Source organism: Homo sapiens, chromosome 10, assembly GCF_000001405.40.
Source record: "Homo sapiens chromosome 10, GRCh38.p14 Primary Assembly".
NCBI lineage: Eukaryota > Metazoa > Chordata > Mammalia > Primates > Hominidae > Homo > Homo sapiens.
The window spans coordinates 12,562,762-12,583,412 of record NC_000010.11 but is presented as its reverse complement, the minus strand read 5'-3'; the positions used below and the strand labels follow the sequence as shown (position 1 = coordinate 12,583,412).

Here is a 20,651-nt window from a genome sequence, read left to right as displayed (position 1 = left end):
GTTTATCCTAAAACATAGCTGACTAAAAATGGGATATGCTATTTTAACAATGACGAGTATCAAACCATATGTTTGCCAGGACAATTTCTTTTACGTCACACACTAAGGAAAAACCAAACTCATATCATTGGAACCATCCCAGCAGAAGAGCTTGGGAAATCAGCCCATCCATTGCCTTCTCTAGATAGAGCTACAACTGTCCCTGTACAGATGTATTTTCCAAGTTCTCCAAACAAGACACTATAGTTCCTCATTCCAATACTAGATAATCTTCCCCTGATAAAAAATTGTTGGGCTTGTTTCTTTTGTTTTTGTTTTTGAGACAGAATCTCGTTCTTTCACAGATGGGAGTCTTGCATGTTGCCTAGGCTGGTCCTCAACTCCTGGGCTCAAGTGATCCTCCAGCCTTGGCCTCTCAAAGTGCTGGGATTACAGGCGTGAGCCACTGTGCCCAGCAAAAAAATTGTTTTTATCCAATTTAAATTTCATCTAGGACTTCTGCGTCCTGGACTACCATGTGCTGATCCTAGCTCAGCCAATGACTTTGTGGTAAACAGTGGGTGTTTAATTTTCCTGGGACTCACTGTCTTCACTAAAAAGTAAAAGAGATGGATTATTGTTCTAATTCTTCAAGGACTTAAAATTAAAAAGCACACTTCTGATAAATGAATTCAGCAAAGTTTCAGGATACAAAATTAATGTACACAAATCAGTAGCTCTGCTATACACCAACAGTGACCAAGCTGAGAATCAAATCAAGAACTCAACCCCTTTTATAATAGCTGCAAAAAAATAAAATATTTGGTAATATACCTAACCAAGGAGGTAAAAGACCTCTACAAGAAAAACTACAAGACACTGCTAAAAGAAATCGTAGATGACACAAACAAATGGAAACACCCCCATGCTCATGGATAGGTAGAATCAATATTATGAAAATGATCATACTGCCAAAAGCATGCAATTCCCATCAAAATACCACCATCATTATTCACAGAACTAGAAAAACAATCCTAAAAATTCATATGGCACCAAAAAAGAGTCCACATAGCCAAAGCAAGACTAAGAAAAAGGAATAAATCTGGAGGCATCATTTTATCTGACTTCAAACTATACTATAAGGCCATAGTCACCCAAACAGCATGGTACTGGTATAAAAATAGGCACATAGACCAATGAAACAGAATAGAAAACCCAGAAATAAAGCCAAATACTTACAGCCACTGATCTTCGACAAAGCTAACAAAAACATAAAGTGGGGAAATGACAGCCTATTCAACAAATGTGCTAGGATAATTGGTTAGCCACATGTAGAAGAATGAAACTAGATCCTCATCCCTCGCTTTATACAAAAATCAACTCAAGATGGATCAAGGACTCACATCTAAGACCTGAAACCATAAAAATTCTAGAAAATAACATCAAAAAAACCCCTCTAGACATTGGCTTAAGCAAAGACTTCATGAGCAAGAACCCAAAAGCAAATGCAACAAAAACAAAGATAAATAGATGGGACTTGATTAAACTAAAAAGCTTCTGCTCAGTAAAAGAAATAATCAGCAGAGTAAACAGACAACCCTCAGAGTGGGAGAAAAGCTTCACCATCTATACATCTTACAAAGGACTAAAATCCAGAATCTGCAAGGAACTCAAACAAATCAGCAACAAAGAAATACAATCCCATCAAAAAGTGGGCTAAGGACATGAATAGACAATTCTCAAAAGAAGGTATACAAATGGCCAACAAACATAGGAAAAAAATGTTCAATATCATTAATGATCAGGGAAATGTAAATCAAAACCACAGTGTGATACCACTTCACTCCTGCAAGAATGGCCATAATCAAAAAATCAAAAAACAGTAGATGTTGGTGGGGATGCGGTGAAAAGGGAACACTTCTACACTGCTGGTGGAAATGTAAACAAGTAAAACCGCTATGGAAAACAGTGTGGAGATTCCCTGAACAACTAAAAGTAGATCTACTGTTTGATCCAGCAATCCCACTACTGGATATCTACCCAGAAAAAAAGAAGTCATTGTACAAAAAACATACTTGCACATGCATGTTTATAGCAGCACAATTCACAATTGCAAAAATATGGAACCAGCTCAAATGCCCATCAATCAACGAGTGGATAAGGAAATCGTGGTATATATATACCATGGAATACTACTCAGCCATAAAAAGGAATGAAATAATGGCATTTGCAGCAACCTGGATGGAACTGGAGACCATAATACTAAGTGAAGTAACTCAGGAATGGAAAACCAAACATCGTATGTTCTCACTCATAAGTGGGAGCTAAGCTATGAGGATGCAAAGGCATAAGAATGACACAATGGACTCTGGAGACTTGGGGGAAAGGGTGGGGATGGGTAAGGGATAAAACACTGCACACTGGGTACAGTGTACACTGCTCAGATGATGGGTGCACCAAAATCTCAGAAATCACCACTAAAGAACTTATTCATGTAGCCAAACACCACCTGTTCCCCCAAACCTATGAAAATAAAATAAAGGAAAAAAGCACAATGCCCCCACAGAATGCTGGCCATTCAACACAATAATAAATATATGTTAGCTGATGTCAGTTGTTCAATTTCTCCAGGTAAAATAATACTTTTCAAAACAATACACACATTTCCCAGAACCTAATTTCCCACCATTGGCCATTCCTGGGGTTCCCCATAGGACCCTCTCCACACACTCCTGCATTCTTCTTAGGCTGGGGTCCATATGAACAGGATGTGGTTCTCCATGACTTCTGTTTTTCTCTTTCTAGTGGGGCTTAAATGGTACAATCTTTTATGATTTACATTCCATTTTTCAAGTACAAAGTGAAGTTTCTTCTAGTTAATAAGTCCTGTTTGAAGAGTAAGAGTTCTGCATACAAAGTACATGTTTCACTCTCATCGGAAACCAAGTTCTCAGAGGAGTTAATCTGTAGCTAATTCAACAATTGCAGAGTCACTAGCTTTGTACACCAAATACTGTCACCCGGGAGACAAGGGGTGAGAAACAGCAGGCTCCAGTCTCCCATTAAAGCTATATTAAAAAAAAAAAAAAAAAAAAGGAAGGAAGGGAGGGAGGGGCATATTTTAGTCCAGATACATTGGTACAGCCTAGATGCCCAATTCCTAAACATCTGTTAGTGAAACTAGTTACAGATGATGTTGACGAGCAAATCGTAGCCTTAAGAATTATCTCAAGACAGGACAGATCTGGCTCACACAGCCAGGTCTGAATGACTAACCCTTTAGGAAACCTCTCACCAGGGAATTCTGGCTGTGCCGAAAGGCCCTGCGAGGTTCCACAGAGCAGTATTTTCCTCCCCAGAGGAGATGGCATCATGGGTTTTCTGCTGAAGGAAAAACGCCCCAGTGGAGGCCAAGGGAAAAAGCTTAGAGCAGACACTCTCCTAAAGGATTCCACCCTGGCTGAGAGTGGACACTTTTCTAAAGAATTCCACCTGAGCCAGGGCAACAAGCAGGTTCAAAACTGGCTTTTGAAACTCAAAGCCACTCCGTGAATCTCCAACCTATCTTGGTGGGAACTCATGGAGACAGATCCAGAGAAGAGATCCGACCTCTCGCTTAAGAAGTGTGAACCATGACAAGGGTGGTGCAGCCCACGGTCCCCATCACAGTGAAGGCATCTAAGAGCACAGAGAGACAATTGTGACTGGTCTGGTCCGGAAGGCTTCATGTTTGCGTAACACTGGAGCGAGCTTGAGAGATGGTCAAGATTTTTGACAGGTAGGGAAAGAAAAGGGTACAGGGAAAAAGAGTAGTAGATGGAGAGAAGAGAAAGTTATTTTTGTTTGCTCCAGTGGGAAGAGACAGACACATCATGAAAGATCCAGCAGGAAACACAGACTGACCCCCAAATACAGAAGGCCTGGAGCACCAGACTCAATGGTCTGACCACATTCCAAAGGCAATGGAGAGCCACTCTTTAATGGAGAGAACAAGATGATCAAAGAAAGCTACATGATTAAATTGGCTTAAGTAATACATGATGGATGAGAAGAAGTGGAGAGAAAAGGCTGCTGCAACTGTCCAGAGATAAGGCCACGGGGCCCAACACAGGATTCAGAAGAAGGAAAGGAAAGGAAGGGAAAGATATGAGGAATGCTATGCAGGACTCTGTAACTGCAGACCCAGGAAGTGGAACAAGAAGAGGAATGCTCCCCTCATCCTGCATCAGCCACGATGCTGTTCCCTGCCCATACCATGCTGTTCCACACCCACAGCCTCACTCAGGCGCCTTCCGAGGACTCCTCGCGCTCCCACACCCACCCAGCCAATTGTTTCTTGCTCTTTGAAGCTCTGTTCAATTTCTCGGTGAAAGCCCCTTCCCTGGAGCAGACACACTTCCCTATGCCCTTGAAGCATATGGCACTTCTTAAAGGGCTGCTGTCTTCTGCTCGTGCCTCTGGGCACCCACTAGACTGCACATTCCCCAGCACAGGGCTCATGTGCTATGCGTCTCTACCCACCGTGTTCACATAGCACCTGAAAACAGTCAATCGAGTGTAGAGCTTCAGCTTGTTGTCTCTAAAGTCAAACTGAACTGGTGCAAATCATCACAGAGGTAAAGTAACTTCCACTTGGCTACTTACTCCCTGGGTGGCCCTGTGGAGGTCAACTCACCTCTGCAATGGTCAGGTTTCTCAGCTGTTAAAAGTGGGTCATCGGTCTCGGTGCAGTGGCTCATGCTTGTAATCCCAGCACTTTGGGAAACTGAGACAGAAGTATTGCTGGAGCCCAGAAGTTCAAGACCAGACTGGGCAAACTAGAGAGACTACATCTCATCTCTACAAAACTTTTTTTTTTTTTTTGAGATGGAGTTTAGCTCTTGTTGCCCAGGCTGGAGTGCAATGGCACGATCTCGGCTCATAGCAACCTCCGCCTCCCGGGTTCAAGCGATTCTCCTGCCTCAGCCTCTCGAGTAGCTAGGATTACAGGGATGCACCACCACGCCCAACTAATTTTGTATTTTTAGTAGAGACGGGGTTTCTCCATGTTGGTCAGGCTGGTCTCGAACTCCTGACCTCAGGTGATCCATCCGCCTAAGCCTCCCCAAGTGCTGGCTGCCTAAGCCTTCCAAAGTCCTGGGATTACAGGCGTGAGCCACTGTGCCCAGCCCTACAAAACATTTTTTAAAAAATTAGCCAGGCAAGGTGGTGCATGCCTGTAGTCCCAGCTACTTGGAAGGCTGAGGTGAGAGGATCGCTTGGGCCCGGGAGGTCGAGGCTGCAGTGAGCCATGATGGTGCCATTACACTCCAGCCTGGGCAATAGTGCAAGACCCTGTCTAAAAATAAATAAATAAATAAAAAGCAGACTATCACAATACCTTCCGTGCAGAGTTGCTGTGAGGATGTAAGATAATGCAAATATAAACGCTGGCAGCTGTGCTTGCCTAATAAATGTTAGCCAATATTACTGTTAGCATTGAATACCAATTTGTTGACTGCATGGATGATTGGATGAATAGGTGGAGATTCCATCTTTGATTTTTTACGTAGATAACTGGGATCCTGGGAATGACATTAGCAAAGGTAACAAGGAGGACACCACGTGGGTGGGGAAGGAGGAAAATGGGCATAATCTTGGAGGGGCTGAGTTAACGATGTCAGCCAAGCATCATACCCCGTTATGGGGCATTGGCCGGAGTGGGGTTTAGGTCTCCAGAAGTCTCATGAATAGAACCCCTAAGACAATCTGTAGCAGGAAGAGGGAGTGAACCAATCGAGAACTGGTGGCTTAGCAGCAAAATACAGACAACAAAAGAGAAAGACAGAGACTTTTTGAAAACAAAAAAAAATCTCCTATTTGATCATTCCGAAATAGCCATGATATAGTAATAATGGCAGAAACAGAACTTTGTTGGATCTCTTTACATTTATTATATGGTTTAAAATGCTTAATTTAGTTCTTTAAATAAAGAAGAAAAGCAATGTGCTCTGCAATGTTTCAGTGCTTTGGGCCTGTAACGATCTGAATCCAGAACTGGGTAGATCCAGGCTGGAGGCCTAGAGGGAGAGGTCAGATTCAGAACTGGAGGTGGCAGGTGTTAATCCACCAAAGGGCTGGAGGCATAGTTCCTAGTGAGAGACCTGCAAGCCTAGAGCTGGAACTGGGCTGGGAACCCAACACGGCGACATACAGAACCAGCCAGGAATTTTCGCTGTGTGTCCGGGGACCTCCCCTGGGCTTGTCCTGGCTTGTGTTATTGGCCGGGGGGACTGCAGCATACATGGGTGAGTGACCAGAGGGCTTCAGCATACAGAGTCAAGGTGGCCGTCACCTCCTGCAAGTGCCCCAGCCTGGCACATATTAACAAAGGCATCCCAGTCCGTGCTAGAAACCAAGATGCACGTGAAAGTGTTCTGGAACTGGTTCCACGGCCTCTCTCCACCCCTTTCCCCAGGCTGGGTTTTGGGGCTCTGTGTCACTCGCAGAGATGTGGTTCCTTTTCTGCCAGACACTCCAGCTCTCCATTCTGAGATAGACGGCATGCAGGTGTGCTCACTGACTGACATGCACAGGACCAAGCCAGACACCAGCATGGATTTGTCTACAAAGCTCTAGAAATACAGAGCCGAGTCTCCAGAACGGCAGTACCAGGCCGTGGAACCGGGCCGCACACCAGGAAGGTGAGTGGTAGGCAAGTGAGCATTCCCGCCTGAGCTCTGCCTCTTGTCAGATCATTGGTGGCAAAAGATTCTCATAGGAGCATGAACCCTATTGTGAACTGTGTATGCAAGGAACCTAGGTTGTGTGTTCCTTATGAAAATCTAATGCCTGATGATCTGTCACCATCTCCCATCACCCCCAAGTAGGACCATCTAGTTACAGGAAAACAAGCTCAGGGCTCCCACTGATGCTACATCATGGTGAGTTGTAGAATTATTTCATTATATATTATAATGTAATAATAATAAAAATAAAGTACACAATAAATGTAATGCACATGAATCATCCTGATATCATCACCCTCCCCCTCCTCCGGTCAGTGGAAAAACTGTCATCCATGTAGGCAATCCCTGGTTCCAAGAGGGTTGGGGACCACTGCTCTAGAATAATAGTCTCCAAACTGTGTTAACTATGTGCCCCCTTCAGTACAAAATACTCAGGTACAAAACCCCCAAAATAGATACATTAATTTATAAATTATAACAGAGATACCACTGCACTCATATCTTATGTAAATTTAAAACTTACACAGCCTTAAAACTTTAAATAATTCGATCAAAGAAACAACATAAATAAACTATTTTACTTAGGAACAATGCAGTTCACATTTTTGCTTTCACTAGAAAAATGTTATGAATAAGAGAGTATTTTAAGTGAGATCAATGAAACTGAATATTTCATTTGTATTTGTATTGTTACTAAATTGTTTTATCCTTGTAACATGACTGACAAAGAACTCCCAGGAGCAGAAATCTGAGCTCTTTCATTATCCTCTTGTGTGCTTGCGCTTGCATTTTTAATATTATCTTCAAGCCATGGTTTCCTTCCAGGAATCTTCTTAAATTCTTGGTCTATTTTGTGAAGGTTGGTTTAGGTAACACTAGGGGATACAACCCACAAATCCATTTAACCAGCCACATGCAAACCACCACTGTCTTCTTAAGCTCAAGGCAGAGGAGCGCGAATTCTTGGGGGGTCCACGGGTCCCTGGGAATGAGTCACAGGCTTGTGACTGTCTGCCTGACAAACTGTCAATCCAAAACAATACTCATGATTCTTAACTTCCTCCTCATTCTAAAAGATCAAATTATAAGTGGAAGTGCTACCATTTTCTTTCTGCATCCCAATGGACCATCTTGTCTACCCACTTTGGAGACCACTGCTTTAGAGAGACATGAAGGCTGGAGATTTTGCCCTGGACGTCCTCCAAATTAAAGTGAGAGACAAACCAAGGGGGATTCCAGAGATGGACATTTGGAAAGCAAAGGAGACAGGATATCAAATTGTTTTAAATGTCCCCAGCTAAGAAACAGGAGTGATGGCTGGGTGTGGTGGCTCACACCTGTAATCCCAGCACCTTAGGAGGCCAAGGCGGGTGGATCACAAGGTCAGGAGTTCAAGATCAGCCTGGCCAACATGGTGAAACCCCATCTCTACTAAAAATATAAAAATTAGCCGGGCCCGGTGGCAGGACCCTGTAATCTCAGCTACTTGCGAGGCTGAGGCAGGAGAATCGCTTGAACCTGGGCAGCAGAGGTTGCAGTGAGCCAAGATCGTGCCACTACGCTACAGCCTGGGCAACAGAGTGAGACTCCATCTCAAAAAATAAAAAGAAAAAGAAAAAAGAAAAAAATAGGAGTGATAGGGGTTGGATCCGTGTCCTCACCAAATCTCATGTTGGATTGTGGTCCCCAGTGTTGGAGGTGGGGCCTGGTGGGAGGTGATTGGATCATGGAGGGCGGTTTCTCATGAATGGTTCTGCACCATGCCACTGGTGTTGTTCTCCTCATAGTGAGTTCTCGTGAGATCTGGTTGTTAGAAGCGTGCAGCATCTCCTCCTTCACTCACGCTCCGGCTCCTGCTCCTGAGGAGCATGTGAGACACTTTGCTCCTCCTTCTGCCATGATTGGAAGCTTTCTGAGGCATCCCCAGAAGCAGAAGCCTCTATGTTTGCAGTACAGCCTGCAGAACCATGAACCAATTAAACATCTTTTCTTATAAGTTACCCAGTCTCAGGTAGTTCTTTATAGCAGTGTGAGAACAGACTAACACGAGGAGGAAGAAGTCAGCAAAGGAGGTAAGAAAGAATCCCAGGCCAGATGCAGTGGCTCACACCTATAATCCCAGCACTTTAGGAGGCCAAGGTGGGTGGATCACTTGAGGCCAGGAGTTCAAGACCAGCCTGGGCAACATGGCGAAGCCCCGTCTCTACTAAAAAAAAAAAAAAAAAAAAAAAAAAAAATTAGCTAGGCGTGGTGGTGTGCACCTGTAATCCCAGCTACTCAGGAGGCTGAGGCATGAGAATCGCTTGAACCTAGGAAGCAGAGGTTGCAGTGAGCTGACATTGCACCACTGCACTCCAGCCCAGGCGACAGAACAAGGCTCCAACTCAAAAAAAAAAAGGACAAAACAGAAAGAAAGATCCCCTAGGGAAGGAGGGAGGCAAATGTACTTAAGCAATGTCATAATTAAAGAATCTGAGTTTTAAGAAGGGGTTGGTGGTCAAGAAGTGGTCAACAGGGCCCAGTGTTTCAGAACAGTCATGGGGACTCTGCATTCTGCAAAGGCTATGATGTTTGGCAACTCAAGAATCATTGTCAAGTCTTTAAAGAAACAGTTTCAGTACAATGGTTGGTCAAAAGACAAGTCCTAAAGGGGTTGGTGAATGAGTGGATAAGTGAGGAAGTACAGCTGCAGATGTAAAAATACAATATAAATAATTTAAAGAAAGAAGGTGCCAAGTGCAGTGGCTCACACCTGCGATCCCAGCACCTTGGGACGTCAAGGCAGGAGGATCACTTGAGCCCAGGACTTTGAGACCAATCTGGGTAGCAGAGTGAGACCCCATCTCCACAAAAAAAAAAAAAAAAAAAAAAAAAGTTTTTTTAATAAGCCAGGCATGGTGGCACGTGCTTGTAATCCCAGCTACTTGCGAGGCTGAGGTGGGAGGATCCCTTGAGCTCAGAAGTTTCAAGGCTGCAGTGAGTCCAGATCAGGCCACTGCACTCCAGCCTGGGTGACAGAACTGACTCAAAAACAAAAAACAAAAAAAAAGAAAAAGAAAAACGTAAGAAAGAAGGCAAGGAAGAAAAAGAAGGAAAGAAGAGGAAAGCTAGTAACATCCTGAAATTGTCACAGTCTATCGAGTGAAAACCATTGTTCTAGAAGCCAGAACTGCAGAAAGTGAGTCCCCCACTCACACTGCCAATAAGTGTGTGCTCCATTTGGTCCACCTGAAATATCTAGACGATGATGATGTCCTGCCTCACAGCTGACTTTCGTGCCAATGACTGCAGTGCATCTCGGCAATGCTAGCGGTAACCCACCAGTGTAAGTCAACCAGCTCTGCATGACGATAAAAAGCATCGTCTCCATCATCGTCTCCATCATGCCCTCTCTCCTTCCCGCTCCACATCTGACACCCACAGGCATCACTAACAGAAGCAAACCCAGCATCAGAGCAGCAGGCCCTGCTTTCTATCCCAGGGCTGCAGGCCTGTGGCCTGAGTGCTTGCAGGCTTGGCCTCATTCTCACAGGCCTGTGGGGTCATGTTAATTAATTCTGTCGTCAGATATCCTGTTGGAAGGAAAGAAGTGTCCAAATGAACAGCACCATGTCTTGCCTTTCTTCTTTGCTTCTCTATTTCTGTCAATGGTCCCAGCATTCTCCCAGATTAAATGAGACTTTAAACACTCGCCTCCCTCCTGTTGACCTCCTATGACTCGCAGAGCTCTGCTGATTCTTCCTTCTCAAGGTATCCAGCTGGGTCAACCTGCTTGGGTTGGGCATGGTGGTTCACACCTGCAATCCAGCATTTTGGGAAGAAAAGTGGGAGGATGGCTTGAGCCCAAGAGTTCAAGACCAGCCTGGGCAACATACTGAGACTTCCCATCTCTACAAAAAAATTTTAAAATTAGTCGTGCATGGTGGCATGCCTGTAGTCCCAGCTATTCCAGAGGCTGAGGCAGGAGGATCACTTAAGCCCAGGAGCTTGAGGCTACAATGAGCTGTGATCTCGCCCCTGCACTCCAGCCTGGGCGACAGAGCAAGATGCTATCTCTAAAAATTAAAACTTTAGAAAAAAAAAGTAAATTGCCTTGCCTAGGGCCCCTCCCCTCCAGCCAGGACTTTCACAGTCAGATGCCAGGTGGCCAACTGGTCTCTATTCTGAAACTGCCTAATCCATCCCCATCCCACACACCACCACAGGAATCATCCCTCATCTTCCCAACATTCCGCCTCAATCCTTTGCTATGCAAAAATTTTCAATGGTTACCCCTTGGCCTAGCAAATGAAATACAAACCCCTAGACTGTGATGATTTCAGGATGAAGTACAAAGGGAAGCAAGGCACGTCTTACATGGTGGCAGGAGAGAGACCTAAGGAGGAAGTACCACTTCTAAACCATCAGATCTTGTGAGGACTCCCTCACTCTCATGAGAACAGCATGGGGGAAACACCTCCATGATCCAATCACCTCCCACCAGGTCCCTCCCTTGACACATGGGGATTACAATTAGAGATGAAATTTGGGTGGGGACGTAGAGCCAAAGCAAATCAAGAGTCTTCCACTTCCCATCTGAGAAAAAGTGACAACAAAACTGAAAATTTGGTACCAATTCTGCTTGGGATTTCATGTATTCTATCAGAACTTTTTTTTTGGGGGGGGGTTTAGTTTTTGGGTGCTGCTTTCTATCTTTGAAATGAATACATATTTACTACTCTCAAAAGCTTTTTGTTAGGATACATGTGCTTACATTAACTATCTAAAATACTTGGCATTTCTATAAAATAAAGCATTTTTATTGTTTTAGAGGGAAGGGAATACCTGTTGTTTTCCTTAATCTTTCCTCTTGTGAAAATAGTACAATTTGATGCCCCTAAAAAGATACCAAATGCCTACAATGTAGCAAGGACTTTGCCAGGCACTAGAAACCCATTTGGAGCTCAGGTAGCATCCCTACCTTCACGGAGCTTTAAGTTTGCTACGAAAGAAAGACAAGTAAATGGACCATTACCTGATATGAGGACAGTGTTACAATGGAGGCAACACTGATGCTACTGGGGAACAGAATAGGCAGCGAGGTTACCCTGGGTTTCTGAAGCAAGGATTCCTACACCAGTGCCTTTCACAGGTAAATATACAAATGCATCACCGGGGGATCCAGCTTCCATGCACATTCTGATTCAGTGGGTTTGCAGCGGGGCCTGGGAGCATTTCTTTATTTCTTTTTTTTCTTTTTTTTTTTTTTTTTTGTGATGGAGTCTCCCTCTGTCACCCAGACTGCAGTGCAGTGCAGTGTTGCGATCTCAGCTCACTGCAACCTCCACCTCCCAGGTTCAAGCAATTCTCCTGCCTCAGCCTCCCAAGTAGCTGGGATTACAGGCACGCGCCACCATGCCCGGCTGATTTTTTGTATTTTCCTCATAGAGACGGGGGTTTCACTGTGCTGGCCAGGCTGGTCTCAAATTCCTAACCTCGTGATCTGCCCACCTAAGCCTCCCAAAGTGCAGAGATTACAGGCATGAGCCACTGCACCTGGCCCTGTGAGCATTTCTAATCCACTCCCAGGAGATACTGCTGTGCTGGTCTAAGGACCACACTCAGAGTAGCAAGGGGCCCAAAAGACTAGACCCCAACACTGAGGCCACATCAGTGGGGAACAACTGCATTTTGGGAGAGGAGATGATGGAAAAACAGCCAGATGTGAGACCTACAACACTGACCACTCCTGTCCTCATGGATCTTTTTTTTAATTGACATGAAGTCTCACTCTGTCACCCAGGCTAGAGTGCAGTGACGCAATCTCGGCTCACTACAACCTCCGCCTCTGGGTTCAAGTTATTCTCCTCTCTCAGCCTCCTGAGTAGCTGGGAAGCACAGGCATGCTCTACCACGCCTGGCTAATTTATTTTTTATTTTCTTTTTGTTGGCCAGATTGGCGTTGAACTCCTGGCCTCAAGTTACCTGCCCTCCTCAGCCTCCCAAAGTGCTGCTGTCCTCATGGATTTTTTTTTTTTTTTTTTTTGAGATGGAGTTTCACTTTTGTTGCCCAAGCTGGAGCACAATGGTGCGATCTAAGCTCACTACAACCTCTGCCTCCTGGGTTCAAGCGATTCTCCTGCCTCAGCCTCCTGAGTAGCTGGGATTACAGGTGCACACCACCACGCCCAGCTAATTTTTGTATTTTTAGTGGACGGTGGGGTTTCACCATGTTGGCCAGCCTGGTCTCAAACTCCTGACCTCAGGTGATCCACCCATCTCGGCCTCCCAAAATGCTGGGATTACAGGTGTGAGCCACTGCGCCCAGCCCCTCATAGATCTGAAAAAGGTAAATGAAGAGGAGGAAAAAAAAATTAACGGCATCTACAAAAATATCAATCATCTTGGAGGTGTGAGGTGACTTTCTTACACAGGTTTAAGCGCTCTTGGATTCAGAGTAATTCAAAGATGACAAATCTAAACTATTTACAAGTCTGAGTTATAAAATATATATATATACTTTTTTTGAGACGTAGTCTCACTCTGTCGCCCAGGCTGGAGTGCAGTGGCGCGATCTCAGGTCATTGCAACCTCCACCTCCTGGGTTCAAGCAATTCTCCTGCCTCAGCCTCCGGAGTAGCTGGGATTACAGGTACATGCTACCACATCCAGCTACTTTTTGTATTTTTAGTTGAGATGCGGTTTCACCATATTGGTCAGGCTGGTCTCAAACTCCTGACCTCATGATCCTCCTGCCTCGGCCTCCCAAAGTGCTGGGATTACAGGCGTGAGCCACCATGCCCGGCCTAAAATATTTTTAAAAGTAGTTACCTCAAGTACTTGTAGAGTCTTGAACCTACGGGAGGGTCACTGCCACATCCACTTAAGTGACAAGGTCACTACTGCCATTGGACACACTGGTTTCGAGCACTTAAAAATATTCCTTTTCCTAGGTAAGTTTTGTAATACGTTCACCACACAATTTTTTTTTTTTTTTTTTTTTTGAGACGGAGTCTCGTTCTGTCACCCAAGCTAGATAGAGTGCAGTGGCACGATCTCGGCTCACTGCAAGCTCCACCTCCCGGGTTCACGCCATTCTCCTGCCTCAGCTTCCCGAGTAGCTGGGACTACAGGCGCCCGCCACCAAGCCCGGCTAATTTTTTTTTTTTTTTGTATTTTTAGTAGAGATGGGGTTTCACCGTCTTAGCCAGGATGGTCTCAATCTCCTGACCTCGTGATCTGCCTGCCTCGGCCTCCCGAAGTGCTGGGACTACAGGCGTGAGCCACCGCACCCCAGCACCACACAATTTTTAAGAGTAGTAGAAAAGATACATTTCAATTGGACTTGTATGCCGAGTAAACAGAGTTCGAAATAACAAGATTTTCTGTAATCAATGTACAAGATGCCATTTGAAAAAAGACACTATGAAAAATTCTAAAATGACATGTTGATATGATTGTTGTTTTATTTAAAATAACTACAATTTATGCAAGTAAGTGAATGCTGTTTGCTACCAAAAAAGGAAATTAAAGGTCCACACTAATTGAATGATTGAGTATAGAGAATACAGGAGTCTGAAACATACACCCTGAAAAGTTTCATTGCCATGTAGACCATCTGTTCATCCGACTCAGCAACAATACCATGGAAATCTTCAGGTAGATTTCTTGAGTCAGTATTTTCTTCAGAACAGTTTCCATTTGGAAGTTTATATTACACTCCTTGTCGCTGTGATATTTACAAAGAAAAAAAAACTTTCCCACTCTAAATCGCCTTTTAAAGAGGCATATTATCTTTTTGAAAAAGTTGTATTAACTGAATAATAATAATGGACTTAATAATAACAGTGGTGACTATTCCCAAAACGAATTCCCTCCGGGAGGCAAAGCACGCACATCTGCATAAGGAAACACTGTATCACTTACTTAGTTGACTGTTTCAGAAAGTCCACACTACTGGACATATACCCCTAGGAAATTATTTCAATAAGCAGCATACTCATAGACACTGCTTGTCGTTCAAAAGCAGCTTGCTGATCTGTTCCTACAATCTTCTATAAGGTTTTAAGAAAAGAAGCACTCAAAACAAAACAAAAAAAGATGAATAAAAAAAAGAAAGAATACTGAAAAAGAAAAAGGCTGACTCTGGGCACATGGCCTAGGCGTTAGCCCTGCTCTGCAACCAGGAAGAAAGGTGAGGGGAGGGAGGGAGGGAAAGAGGGAGGAGGAGAGAGAGAGAGAAAATGAAAGAAAAGGAGAGAGAAAAGAGGAAGGAAGGAAAGGAAAGGAAGGGGAGGGGAGGGTGAGGGGAAGAGGAGCAGGAGGGGAAGGGGAGGGGAGAAGGAGAGGAGGGGAGAGGAGGGGGAGAGGAGGGGAGGGGGAGAGGAGGGGGGAGGGGTGGGGAGAGGAGGTGGAGGGGAGGGGGAGGGGTGGGGGATGGGACGGGAAGGGGGGACGGAGAAGGGTAGGGGAGGGGAAGGGAGGGGAAGGAAGGGAAGGGAGGGGCAGGAAGGGAAGGGAAGGAAAGAGGGAGAGAGGGGGAGAGGGAGGGAGGGAGGGAGGGAGGGAAGGAAACAGGGAGAGAGGGAGGGAGGGAGGGAAGGAGGGCAGGAAGGCAGGAAAGCAGACAGGCAGGCAAGGTGGGAGGGCGGGCAGGCCTAACTGAGAGTGGGTCCCAGAACAAATCAAACTTCTAACCACTCTATAGACATATTTAAAGGAAAGCTCAGTAAAAGTGGCCCCCACCTACAATGTGCCATGTTCTGAATCCAACAGAACATGGAACCAGTCAAAAACAGAGCCCACAAACAGATTTGCCTCCTAAGTTTTAACATAATCCCAGGTATCTTGACCATTCTGATTCAAGCTCGAAATTCGAGGCACTCTCTGAAATTTGCACTCTGCCGTGCTTTAGGGCTGCCCACCCCGTTGCTGTACCAAGTGGCTTTGCCCTGGAAGAGGTCCTACCAGGATTAAACAAACGACGACATCAACAAAAAGAAACCACACGTTCACAGGCAGCAAATCTGGTGTGGATTTGTGGATATGCAATTCAAACCATTTTAAAGTAAATAGCTGCATTATCACTTGGCTCTAAACCCAGCAAGAACTCATTAGAAAGAACACTGAACACCTGCGTGAAAACTTCTTTCCACAAGTTTACTTTTCTACCTAGAAAAATGTGCGTACACCTGTAGAGAAATGAGTCACGGAGGAAGACACCATGGCTTCTTGGACAGCCTGGCTTATCCCCCAAACCGTGAACGTCTCTAGATGGTTTTCAGCTCATCGGCTGCCCCATCCCTGCCTTCCCCACTCTATGCCATCCCTCGGGATGACCCAGTGTCCCCCAGACTCGCTCTGTTGTCCATCATGGTACGTGGGAAAGCTGCCTCCCTTTGTTTCTAGAACATCTTGGAAAGCTACAGAGAAAGCAAAGGATCAAACAGGACAGAGAAGGAACAGCACAGCTCTCAGGCCTGCAGCTGAAGGAGAGGATGGAAAAGGTCTTTCTGGATTATGACCTCACACCAGAGTAGCATTTGCCGTATTTTCTAGATCATTCCACGATCTGTAACTGGTTTCTTCCCACTGCACTTCCGAGAAGTAGTATCTTCATTGTATTCACAAGAAACTGGCACACTGGGCCACAATCATTAGATACACCTCAAATGAGAGCAAAGCCTCTCCAATGTTTAACCTGTACTGCAGGCTCGGCGACGGGCCTCTGAGCTCTGTTCTAGTGAACAGCAGAGCACTGGAGGCAGCTTGGAGCAGCATACGACGGCAATCCAAGCAGCTGGAAAAAACACTGCATCGCTGCCAGGGAGGGGAAGTCAGAAAGAACAGCGCATCTAATTGAAATCACCAGGGGAATTTCTGAAACCAGATTCAATATCCCATTGTGGAATCTGGCCAACCTACTGGGGTAGCTTCTTCAGTCCTGTGCAACATACCAAGGACCTCTGCAAGATGAGGAAGAGTTACTTTCCCGCATTCTCCTGAAAGAGGCTCTGCAAGTATGGTTATGTGGAAAGAGTTCTGAATTCGAAGGTCAGAAACCATCCTTCTGGCTCCGCGTCTGCCCGGCTTAGCTCCATGACCTCGGGCAATCACTTTACCTCTCTGCACCCCTTTCCTCATCTGAAAGTCTAGAGAACTGGACCAAGATGTCTAAGTTCCTTTTCTAGTTCTAATGCTCTGGTGACTCTAACATTAAGAGAAGCAGACGGTCAGATAACCGAGGAAAGCAAGAGTTTTCACAGGAGTTTAGTCAGCAAGAAAAATGGTGAAACTGATGTATCCTTGGCAACTCTGCAGCAGTGTTGGGTCTATGACAGCAGCAGCCTCACCCCTGGAAGAAGGCCGGCCACCTCATCGCTGCTGCCTCTGTCTCCTATTTCAAGAAGGGCTCCCTTAGGCTTCAACAGGGAGCCTTAGGGAGACGACACTTGCGTGATGTGACTTCTGGGAAGGAACCTTCCCCCTATTCCCGCTGTCTAGCAAGATGTCCCTTACACATAATAATAATGTACACAGCAAACATTTGGAGAGCCCACACTATGTGCCAGGCATGCACTGACTGTTTGATCCCTACAACGACTATTGGAGGCAGATACTATTATCATCCCCATTATCCTGAAAATGGGGGCTGAGAGTTGAAATGACTTGCCCAAGGTCAAGTAGCTTCTAAAGCAGGAGTCTGATGCAAACTCAGATGAGCTGATTCTCAGGACTTCACCACACTGTATCCTGCCTTTCTAGTAGCTGAGAAGCCACAGTTACGGATTTATTCTTTCACCATTAGTGAACACCTCCTACCTAGAGTGGGCTATTGCCTATATCAAGGAGAAGCGGCCCCTTTCTTCACAAGAGAACACAGGGACAGCAGACGGGTCAAATCATATTGGAAAGAGACACACAGACCTGGGTAACTTCCTCTCCACATATTACCAGTTATGTGGCCCCTAAAAATGTCTTAAATAAGTCCAAATTCCTCATCTGTGAAATGCAGATCATAATATCCACTTTACAGGTTTATGGTGACGATTAAATGAAACAATGCTTGTAGAAGTCACTTGTTGCTAACTTTAAAACCCTTGAAGGTACATTTACTAAATGAAGCAAAAGTACATTTTGTTCTTCAATAAAAAGATATACAAAACTGAGATGTCGCCAGGCGCGGCAGCTCACGCCTGTAATTCCAGCACTTTGGGAGGCCGAGGCGGGCAGATCATCTGAGGTCAGGAGTTCGAAACCAGCCTGGCCAACATGGTGAAACCCCGTCTCTACTAAAAATACAAAAACTAGCCAGGCATGGTGGCAGGCACCTGTAAACCCAGCTACTTGGGAGGCTGAGGCAGGAGAATCAATTGCTTGAACCTGGGAGGCGGAGGTTGCAGTGGGCCGAGTCGTGCCACTGCACTCCAGCCTGGGTGACAGGGTGAGACTCCATCTCAAAATAAAAAATAAAAATTAAAAATACGGAGATGTATGTAGGTATTTATTCGTTTTCAGAGACAGGGTCTTGCTCTGTCACCCAGGCTGAAGTGCAGTGGCACAGTCATAGCTCCCTAAAGCCTCAAACTCCTGGACCCAAAGGATCCTCCTGCCTCAGCCTCCCAAGTAGCTGGGACTACAGGCACATGCCACTACACCAGGCTAATTTTCTTTGATTTTCCATAGAGACAGGGTCTTGTTATGTTGTCCAGGCTGGTCTTAAACTCCTTGCCTCAAGTGGTCCTTCTATCTCAGCCTCCCAAAGTTCTGGGACTACAGGCATGAGACACTGTGATTGGCCTCCAAGACATATTTACAATGTGTGTATATGCATATTTATTTACACACCTACATATAGTACATTTACATGTGTGTATACTTAGGTCATCAGTTCTACAGCTTTTGACAAGAACCAAAAACACTACATCTATTGCAGCACTGTATTTCTTAAAAGATACCCTTTTATGTGTTTGTATCCCAAGTGATACCTCCTACTTATCCATATCATATAGTCAAAACTATTTTTTAAATATTCATAACAGAAAAATGCAAATAGCTAAAAAATGGATATTAATCCATTTACCAAATTCTATCCAACTATTACTTTAGAAAAAATTTATTCCCCCAAACCTGGCTTCAGACCAATCATCAGAGCCTCTGACCTCAACTTTAAGCTTTGAGAAAAACAGTTATATAGCTTAAAAACAGTAAACAACTCTTCAAACTACTCAAACGATAGCCCTGGACTTCACACATGTGAAATGAAATTTGTTAATCCAATTACATACAACTTAAAATACACAGTGAGTCATAAATAAAGCTTCACTAAAATAATTCATTTGCCATATGAATCATGCCAAAACCACATAGAAGACAGAACGGACACAACATAAAGCTTAACAGAAAAAAAAAAATTGAATCTTTGGTGTCTATTTCTTTTTCTATATCTGCCATCTTAGTCCATCTCAGGCCTACTTGCATTTAATCTTTCATTAGTGTGGTTCTCCAATGTAAGCTATTCTGACTTTTTAAAAATATTAGCCTATGAGAGAGAGAGAGAGAGAGAGAGAGAGAGAGAGACAGAGAGAGAGAGAGAGAGAGAGAGAGACATCTAGACAGACAGATCTATCTATCTAGATAGATATCTAGATAGATAGACAGACAGACTGCTCTTCAAATCATTTAACTGGAATCTGTATAAATCATTAGCTAAGTAAGTTTACAGAAGAAAGGGGAAAGATCTGCCAAGATATATTATTAGAGGAATTTAAACCACCAACTAGTCCACATATTAGCTGAACTCCCATGTAAATATCCACATTAGATGACAGAGATGGCACAAGGAAATAAACATGCAAAGACGCAACACTGGTTTTAAAAGTGTGATAAAACACATTGTTTCTTCAACTACTCTAAATATCTACAGAGTAATATGTATAGTATACAAGGTGGCAGGAGAGGCCAGACCAGATTTAAGTATACTCTGTTGCCATAAAGGAATCCTCATTCTCTCTCTCCCTCTCTCTCCCTCTCTCTCTCTCTCTCTCTCTCTCTCTCTCTCTCAAACCTTCCGCCTCTTCTGGAATGCCCCATATTGGTTGAGGAACCTGCCATCCACTTGGTCAATGTAATGGATAATTTTATGTGTCAACTTGACTGGCCTAAAGGATGCCCAGACAGCCGGTAAAACAGTATTTCTGTATTTCTGGTGTGTCTGTGAGGGAATTTCTGGAAGAGATTAGCATCTGAATCAGCAGACTGAGTAAAAAGATTATCCTCACCCGTGTAAGCGGGTATGTTCAAATCCATTGAGAGCCAGAATAGAAGAAAAAGGCAGAGGAAGAATCAATTTGTTCTTCTTCCCTTTTTTTTTAGAGACAGAGTCTCACTCTGTTGCCCAGACTGGGGTGCAGTGGTGTCATCACAGCTCACTGCAGCCTCGACTCCTGGACTCAAGTGATCTTCCCACCTCAGCCTCCCAAGTAGCTGCAGGTATAGGTGCGTGCCGCTACACCTGGTTTTTCTCTCTCCTGGAGCTAAGACATCCATCTCCGGCCCTTGGACGTCGGCTCCCCTGGTTCCCAGGTCTTTGGCCTTGGGCCAAGTCCAGTTGGCTTTCCCGGGTCTCCAGTTTGCAGATGGTGGATTGTGGAGCTTCTCAGCCTCCAGAATTACATGAGCCAATACCTCATAATAAATCTTTTTGTGTATCTACATATATCCTATTGCTTCTGTTTCTTTGGAGAACTAATACAGTCACCAAAGCCAGAGAGAACTGGAAGTCAGCATAGATTCCTCCCTTCCACTAAACCTTCTTTGCCTAATCAGCACCCAGTCCCAGGGTTTCTAACATCCTTAATTTTACCTGAGTTCCCCTAATCCTTGCCTCCATTCCCACCATGTTGCCTTTAGTTCAGGGCTAGATTCAGGAAGTCCACAGTTTGGAGCAGCAGAGATCCCATGGCA

General features: G+C 44.7%; 1 protein-coding gene and 1 non-coding gene across 8 annotated transcripts in view; both read right to left on the bottom strand.

The window, feature by feature from the left end:
• The window catches only part of CAMK1D (calcium/calmodulin dependent protein kinase ID), a 485,999-nt gene that overhangs the window by 252,133 nt on the left and 213,215 nt on the right, over nt 1-20,651 (bottom strand). The gene's annotated exons all lie outside the window — the stretch shown is intronic.
• Nucleotides 4,590-4,660, bottom strand: MIR4480 (microRNA 4480). Its single transcript, NR_039700.1, has one exon. It is a non-coding gene; the product is annotated as a microRNA 4480 (primary transcript).